At 37.8% G+C, this 9,248-nt stretch overlaps 1 protein-coding gene across 5 annotated transcripts in view; it reads left to right on the top strand.

The window, feature by feature from the left end:
• Positions 1-9,248, top strand: part of CTNNAL1 (catenin alpha like 1) — a 70,923-nt gene that overhangs the window by 27,865 nt on the left and 33,810 nt on the right. For all 5 annotated transcript variants that reach the window (XR_007061368.1, XM_017015250.3, XM_005252291.5 and 2 more), the window contains 4 exons: positions 1,199-1,288; positions 2,320-2,490; positions 6,154-6,354; positions 8,587-8,673. Coding sequence is in view for 4 of the 5 variants with exons in the window: in XM_017015250.3 (XP_016870739.1) it covers positions 1,199-1,288; positions 2,320-2,490; positions 6,154-6,354; positions 8,587-8,673 (549 nt within the window). In the remaining variant the exon portion in view is untranslated. The remainder of the gene's footprint in view (positions 1-1,198; positions 1,289-2,319; positions 2,491-6,153; positions 6,355-8,586; positions 8,674-9,248) is intronic.

Below are 9,248 nucleotides of genomic sequence, written 5' to 3'. Positions count from 1 at the left end.
GGGATGTGATCTGCATTAGCTTTGGGGTTATATGCACTTTGTCGTACACTATTTGTAATTCCATCTCTATCTTTTATTAAATCTATATTGGGATGCAAGTGAGTGAGAGTGATATTATTGTGTAGGACTAACTTCTGAATCCATTCTAATTTATTCAAGCAAATTTACTTTCAAAGGCAAATCATTCTCAAACTTTAGGTTTTACTTATTTGTAAGAAGGGGCCTTTAACCTAACTTACAAATAAAAAAGGCTAACGTGACAGGGAAAAATTTTATGTAATTCAAATTTCAATGTCCATACATAAAGTTTTCTTGGAACACAGCTGTTCTTATTTATTTGTGTATTGTCTCTGTTTGCTTTCACACTACAATGACAGAATTGAGTAGCTGTGATGGAGACCATATAGCTCAGAAGGCCTCAAATGTTTATCTGGGCTTTAATTGAAAGTATTGCCCACCTCTGATTTAGATATAATAACCAAATTATTAACAGAGTATTTTGTTGTAGATTTGATCAGCAAACTTTGGCTACCTCATGTGAATAGCACACATTCTATTGAGGGCTCTGTGAGGAGAAGTCACCCCCCACCAAAACAAATTCAATACACAGTGCTTTCTTAGGTGTTCCTTTTCAATCTTGTTGGGGAAAATTATCTACCCAAGAAACATCTTAAGAATATTTCAGAGCAGCATATTGATTAAGATTAAGACAAACGAACCCCAATTTGAGATGCATAGCAGTTAGATGGGATTAATTAGACGAGGCTCCTTAAAGAATCGACTTTTAAGTGTCTGTTTTGAAGGAAATAATAGTCAATAGATGCTCAGTAGACAATTTACTTTTAATTAGGTAAGACATAGGCTGGGTGTTTCTGGTTAGGACGCAGTGTGTGCATTTGACGTGAGAATGTCAGGTATGACAGAACACCAGAATGTCAGCCATGTGCAGCCTCTACCTGTGTCTCAGTTTCTGGCTCTCTAGCCCTTACTAAGAGTAGCTTTTTCTTTCTACTCATATTGTGTTGATGTGTTTATATTGAAGCAGTGACAGTTTGTAAAACTTTATCCTGGTTTTTTTTTTTTTTTCACTTAACAATGTTAGTGAATTCTTGAGTATTAGTGTTGAATAAATACTTTTTTAAGAAATTGGGTTGTTCACATGGTCTTAGACTCCTCCGTGATTTTATTTCATATTTAGGATTTGAAAGATGAAAAGAAAAAGGCAAAAATGGCAGCAGCTAGGGCAGTTCTTGAAAAGTGTACAATGATGCTTCTCACAGCTTCAAAGGTAAGACAATTTTGGTTTTACTGTGTAATAAATTAATAATTAGAACACCCGACTAAATGCATTTAACTTACATAATTTACATTTTAAAAAAGATCAAAGTGATTACTTAGAACATAGGCCTGAATAGTTAAATCTCAGTTATTATTTATAAGAATGCTAACTTTCTTCCCCAACTCCAAATAATAACTAATTTATGAGTCAGCTTTGATTGAACAGCTCAGCAGAACATGGTGTATTAGGTGCTATGAATTAAGGCCTGTCACACATGGTAGCTGCCTGCAGGGTTTTTCCAGTCTCATTGAGGAGCCAGCACATATGCTCTAGAAAAAGCTAGACAAGTTAAGATCTGTTAAATACAGTGGAGTAAGAAGTCAGCACTTAGTTTATTCTGTAAATTCACCCTTTAATTCCTGTTTCCACTTTTAACAAAATTATCAATCAAGAGTATTTCCAAACAGCAGTTGGCCAGCAAATTGGTGCAATTCTAGAATGAATGAGTAAAATGTCTCTTTAGCAGTTTGTTTGGAATAACCTTTTCTTCTGAGAGTATTTACCCCATGCTAGAATCAGTGAAGCCACAAAAACAGACTTCGTGGAACCCACTCAGAAGACTCTATTTTGTCTAGGCCCTTGAGTTTTTCATTTACATCATTTTTTAAAAGTCAAGATGCATCCATGATCATATATCATCTCATTTTTCTTCATTCTTTTTCATTTCTGGCATGTGTAAGGCAACATTTAAAATAGTTTTAATCATGATGAAAAGAGATTTTTTCCTAAAAAATTTTTAAGTAAACTTACTGTTGAAGTATAAAGGTATAGTTTTGCACTCTGCATTTTTTATTTAACCTTGCTATCGCTTTTTACTCATCCTGCTTCCACTTTAGTGAGGAGAAGCAGCTGAGTGAGCCAGGGACCCAGGAGATTTTGGTAAAGAACCATTTTTCTTAGCATGACATGTTCTCTGTAAGATTTTTGTGCATTATGACATAAATCAAATATTAAAATAAAAATTTTCAATTGTTTTGAAGACATGTCTGAGGCATCCTAACTGCGAATCAGCCCATAAAAACAAAGAAGGAGTATTTGACCGTATGAAAGTGGCATTGGATAAGGTCATTGAAATTGTGACTGACTGTAAACCGAATGGAGAGACTGACATTTCATCTATCAGTATTTTTACTGGAATTAAGGAATTCAAGGTAAGAATAAAGAGAGTATATTTTTATTTTTCTCTTCTTATTTTATTTTATTTTATTTTAATTTTTTGAGATGGAGTCTCGCTCTGTTGCCCAGGCTGGAGTGCAGTGGTGTGATCTCGGCTCACTGCAACCTCCACCTCCTGGGTTCAAGCGATTCTTGTGCTTCATCCTCCCAAGTAGCTGGTACTACAGGCATGTGCTACCATGCCTGGCTAATTTTTATATTTTTGGTAGAGACGGGGTTTCACCATGTTGGCCAGGCTGGTCTCAAACTCCTGACTTCAGGTGATCTACCCGCCTGGGCCTCCCAAAGTGCTGGGATCACAGGCATGAGCCACTGCACTCAGTCTTTTCTTTCCATTTTAAAGGAGCATCATTATGTATAGTATCCATATTTTTGTGTAATGTTTTAGAACAGTGCTTCACAAAAGCAAATGTATCTATTTAAAGCAATGCCACTCTGTACAAACTTGTTGCTCAGTAATATTTACATTAAAGGTGTATTTACAAAGAACACTGGTCTTTGGTTATAGTAGCTACTCTGGCTCTGTTTAGCTGTATGGTTTAGCTGTAGCCTCCTGTTCAAAAGAATGTTCCCTTCCTGTTTTTTGAGCAGTGCCATATCTTTTTGAGCAGTACCATCCATAGGATGATGGTGAGCAGCAAATCATTTCTGCTAGAATTCCTGCTTTTCTCTGTGTTAGAGGGTTGGTACTTTGAGACTATAGTAATAGTATTAGTAATAATTAAAATTTAAAAATCAACAGTAATACACACTAACAGTTATTGAGTCCTTATTCTGTGCCAGCCCTTTTCTGAGTGCTTTAAATATATGAACTTATATAATCCTCAAAGAACTATTGCTATTATTTCCATTACACTGTTGAGGAGCTTGAGAAACAGAAAGGATATTAACTTGCTGGCTACTAAGTACCAGAGTTGGGATTTGAAACTAGGCAGTGTGACTCCAGGAAGTCTGACTTCTCATCAGAAGTCATAGACATGGTGAAGATGCTTTCTGGGTAAGAGCAGTGTCTGAGTTGGGAGGGCCCTAAGAAGTCATCTAGTACAATGCCCTCCTTTAACAGATCAGAAAACTAAGGCCCTGAGAAGTTATCCAAATGCTAAAGGTTCCCACCTCTCTAACAGACAGGGCTATGATGAGAATGGCATTCTTTCCATTTTACTGCACTTTGATTTATTTTATTTATTTATTTTTGAGATGGAGTCTCACTCTTGTTTCTCGGGCTGGAGTGTGGTGGCACGATCTTGGCTCACTGCAACCTCCACCTCCTGGGTTCAAGCAATTGTCCTGCCTCAGCCTCCTGAGTAGCTTGGATTACAGGCACCCACCACCACAGCCGGCTAATTTTTGTACTTTTAATAGAGATGGGGTTTTGCCATGTTGGCCAGGCTGGTCTCGAACTCCGGACCTCAGGTGATCCGCCCACCTTGGCCTCCCAAAGTGCTGGGATTACAGGCGTGAACCACCACGCCTGGCCCTGGACTTTGATTTCTAATTGTGTGAAGGTCTAAGTAGGAACATGGGGTGAAAAGACAGTAATGGAAAGAATATCTCTTTTTGCTCTTAATAAATATTTTATTTAATCCCTACCTGCCCTTTAGGTGGATATAATTATATACTGTTTTTTTTTTTTTTGTTTTTTGTCTTTTTTTTTTGAGGAGGAGAGCTAGTAAGTGGTAGAACCCTTCTTTAGGCCCAGGATTCTCTAATCCCAAAGTCCATGACCTTTCACTTTACACCTCTGGGTTTGTTTATATGATGCCAGTCCTACCACTGAGTCTTCCTGAGGGGAAAGAAACTGTACAGACCAAACCTTCTCTTAGAAATTTTATTGCTGAAAGAGATCTTAGAGATTATTTTTCTAATCTTCCCTTTTTATAAATGCTGAAGGAGGAGATGTGTTGTCAAAGGATAATTAGGGAAACAAGTAAGTCAAGTGAGAGACATCTTTCACCACCTGCTGCTGCATTTCTAGTGCAGGTGAAGGAGGGGCAGTGCTCTGCCTGTGGCTGCTGCCGACAGCTCTGGCTGCTGCCCTCTCGCCATCAGGCATGCTGGAGGCAGAGCTGTTATAAATAGGCTCAGTCTCACTGTCCATGATTATCTCTTTGGCATCTTGCTTTTTTTCTGATGGAGAGTATAATCTATGGAGGGAAACTGGGTACTTTGCTGTATTTGGTACCATGAATATATGGACAAATGTTATGAAACCATATCAGTAAATAGCCTCTTTAAAAAAACCCCACAAAACTCCACTAAGTTGCTGTCTAAAAACATGTATATTTTCTCTCTAAAGGGAAAATAAAAAACCTTAACATAAATGGTATGAGACCAATATAACTGATTTTTATGTTTTAATTCTGTTTAAATTCTCAAATTTAATTCTCTTAAATTAATAAAATAAATTTAATTCTCTGAGAAGATCCCCATTGTAAATTCCATACCTTACTATTATCTGTATTCTTTCCTAGCTTAAATACAAGTTTCTGTCTACCTAGGATGGAGTGATCACCTGACACAACTTGGGCCAAGAGCAGGAGGGGAAGCAAGGACTCTCCTATGGCATCTTGACTTTCCCAAACTTTGATATTTTCATGGATGATGTTAAAATGGGTCACACATAAGGATTAATTAAAATAACATTTGTGAAAGGACTTTGAAGTGTTAAACAAATGTAAGGTATCCTTATTATCACATTCATTGTGACCATAATCATGATCATTACCGCTTGTTGCCTCTTGGCCCAAGTTGTCTGTGTGACATATTTCATGGACTGTAGTGTTTTACAGGGTTGAAATGGCATGATGCATCGTAGAAAGCTGAGAGAGAAAGACTGCACACATGAGCATGTGTTCATCACATAGTCAAGGAACTCCAAACAGGATGGCTGAAGTGAAAGGTTGTTAGGGGGTTCAGGGGGTGAGATAGACTGTTAGAGAAGTATATAAAGACAGGCCATAGAGGATTTTGTGCTATACTACATAGACGTTTGGGCTTGATTCTCTATAGATGGCGAGGAACTATTAGAGGGAGGTGGCAGTATCAGATGGTTTACATTTTAGATTATACAGACCCTCTGGTAGAGGATGTTTGGGTCAGTAAGGTGCTGTTGGGGACTTTAAACAAAATGTAGGGAGACCAGTTAGGTGACTAGGAGAGTCTTTGCTGAATTAACAAAGGAAAAATGGATGTCTTCCCCAGTGCTTCTCACACCCCACATCTTCCACACCATCCTTCCCCCTGGGCTCAGCACATTTCATATTTGGGTGTAACTTATCTTCCAGGACTTTGCCTAGGCATTTTCTCAGATGCAAATCTTTTACCTGGAGGCTGGTTCATTTTTCCTGCCAGTTGCTAGAGGATGATGCTCTTTCTGCCTTAGTATTCACTGATCTCATAGCAATGTCATTGTATTAATTACTCTAGGAATGGTGCTTTGCATGGATATTGAAGGCTTTTGAGCAATGTATCCTTCTGGGTTAGTGGCGAATATAGATATCATTGGTGGCTGTATTTCCCCTCAGCTTGGGAAAAGGAAATGCTAGTGTTTTCCTGGGCACTGTTAGAAATTACAGCCCATTTTGGTCAGGTGGGAATATTGACTCACATGGATGGATAGATGTCCTTTTTGTTCTCAGATGAATATTGAAGCTCTTCGGGAGAATCTTTATTTTCAGTCCAAAGAGAACCTTTCTGTGACATTGGAAGTCATCTTGGAGCGTATGGAGGACTTTACTGATTCTGCCTACACCAGCCATGAGCACAGAGAACGCATCTTGGAACTGTCAACTCAGGCGAGAATGGAACTGCAGCAGTTAATTTCTGTGTGGATTCAAGCTGTAAGAACTTTTTTTAAAATCAAAGTAAATCTTATATAATGGCTTTCCCATAAAGTTTTGCAAGATATGGAAGTTACATAATCACCAGGAGTATGAATTTGTTCCAGAATGGGACAGGATATCTCATCCCTTCTTTCCCTCCTAGTTGGCCAAAATATCCTTCCCATCTAGCACTTACAATACTTGACATTTATTTCCAGGCCTGTTGACTCTCATTCTAGCCAGTCTCAATTATATGCCTCTGTCACTATCACTAGTTCACACTGTTGTCCCTACTCTTCCACCAAACTCACCTCTGGAAAATTCCTCCCCAAAATACTTCTTCAGAGTGAAGAACAGAGGAGTAGACCCCCTCCTAGAGGTTCTTGGGACCTGAGCCTGACTGCTGGAGCCATTCACATGTACACAATTCTTACCTCTGAGGACAGCTGATTTACAGAGACAATGATTTAGAAAACTTATTGGGGTGTAGATTCAATGAAAACAAGGGTAGATCCAGCTGGCAAGTAAAAGCTTTTCACCCTTGCACAAATTCCTGGTCTAAAATTGGTGGGTGGCCACTCTGTGAGCCTTAAATGGGCTGTTGGTGTGCTTCAAACAGAGGAGCTTATTTGGGCAAGAATGGCCAAGACTGACAGAAGTGGGACAGACAGGAAGTGTGTGTACACAATCTCTTATAGCAGGTGGATTGCAAAGTGGAGAGACAGAGAGCCCTGGGACATGTCTCTAGCATTATTTATTTCTTAGGCCCAGGCTCTGTCAGAAAAGTATTTAACATGGCTTACAATATACAGCAGTGATAGTACAAATCTGGAAGTCATGAACAAAGCTTTGGCAGTAAAGATGATGAAGGAGGGTGGATATGGCTGAGACTGAAGAAAGAAGGAGCAGTTGATTTCCTTGTAAGTAGATTAATTTATGAATGAAAGTAGATATGAATCACAGATTTCTCTGATGTTTTCTTGGCATCACAGTAGTGCACATGTTCTTATTAACAGGGAATCTTGCCCTAGAGTATAGTCGTGTGAGAGACTTGAGCAATGTTTTGTGTTTAGTTTGAATTATCTGTGTGATACACAATCTGAAGTGTAGATTGCTTCAGTGTTCAGTTTTAAGTCCAACACTCACTATAAAGAGTTGCTTGTGATGAAATACTCTGTTGGGAATGTGATTCTATCAATACTCAAATTTGCAATTAGCAAATGTCACAAATTTAGCAAATTTACCCGTGCATATTTCACAAGCACTCAGATCTCTGATCCTGCATTCTAGGTGTATTTTTCATTCATTCATTTTTTTCAGCAGTTGTTACTGGTGCCTTTTATATGCCAAGCACCATAAATCTAAAGATGAATAAGCTAAAATCTTTGTCTGCAAGAATTTTACAATATAGAAATTTGCGGGAAGGGGTGAGACAAGTACAAATAGCTTTGTAAGTATCCTAAGAGAAAGTGTAGACTATGCATTGAGAGGGTTTGAAGGAGGACAAATTTATATTTAGGGAGGGGGCTCAAGAAGTCTTCATGAAGTAGTGATATTTAATTTTTATTTATCATGCAAAGAATTGAATATCTACGACCTACCATTTGCTATGCCAGGTACTGTGGATTTAGTGGTGTGCAAAATAGATGTGAACCCAGCTTTCGTGGCCTAGTGGGGAAGATAGACTTTAAACAAACAAAAAATAAAAAATTCCAGATGGTTTGGACTGAAAAAATAAATATGTAATTGCAAACTGGGACGATTATGGAGCAAAAAGATTACAGTGAGTAAGAAGAGGGTCTGATTTAGATTGAGTGATCTGAGAAAGCCTTTCTGAGAAAAAGACATTTATGTAAGATCTTAAAGATGAGTAGGATTTTAATTTTTAACTAGGTTAGGAGTGAAAGCATGGACATTCTAGGCAGAAAATAAAAGAGATTAATTTTAGACTTGAGTTTATTAAAGAAAATTAGATTTTAAAAGTTCACCTTTCAATATAATCCATAGGTTCACAGAAAAATAAATAAATAAAAAAACAGAAGTTCATCTATTTGTAGTTAGCATTGAAAAATATAACTAAACTGAAATTTTATTTTCCACTGTAACTTAAACAGGTAAATTTTGAAAATCTACTTTTATAGTTCACAGAATAGTATTAAAATTTATTACAATTTACAGTCCAAACAAAATTGTAATTAACAGATTAAAGAGATGCGGTAACATTACATGTATACTTTTTAAAATTTTTAGCAAAGCAAGAAAACAAAAAGCATCGCTGAAGAACTGGAACTCAGTATTTTGAAAATCAGTCACAGTCTTAATGAACTTAAGAAAGAAGTAAGTATAGTTTGAAATTTAGCCTCTTCTAATTCTTTGTGATTTTCATGTTGTATGGGTGTATGAAATACATTAGTATTATTAGTATGTCTCTGTGCCTAGAAAATGGTTTTAAAAGTTTTCCTTTGAGGCCAGGCATGGTGGCTCATGCCCGTAATTCCAGCACTGTGGGGAGGCCAAGGTGGGAGGATCACTTGAGCCTAGGAGTTTGAGATTAGCCTGGGCAACATGGCAAAACCCCATCTCTACAAAAAACACAAAAGATTAGCCAGGTGTGGTGGTTAGCACCTGTAGTCCCAGCTACTCGGGAGGCTGAAGTGGGAGAATCACCTGATCCCCAGGGCTCAAGGCTGCAGTGAGCCATGATCGCGCTACTGCACTTCAGCCTGGGTGCCAGAGTGAGACTGTGTCTCAAAAAAAGAAAAAAAAAAAAGTTTTCCTTTGACATAGTTATTTTGAAGCCATGATTTTATTAATGCCATCATTCTCAAAGCTTGCACATGAATTTTCATCACTTTATTCATAATAATAAAAAACTAATAACCTAGAATTCCATCAACAGAGGAATTGATAAA

Source organism: Homo sapiens, chromosome 9 (genome assembly GCF_000001405.40).
Source record: "Homo sapiens chromosome 9, GRCh38.p14 Primary Assembly".
Taxonomy (NCBI): domain Eukaryota; kingdom Metazoa; phylum Chordata; class Mammalia; order Primates; family Hominidae; genus Homo; species Homo sapiens.
This window is presented reverse-complemented; position numbering and strand designations above follow the sequence as displayed.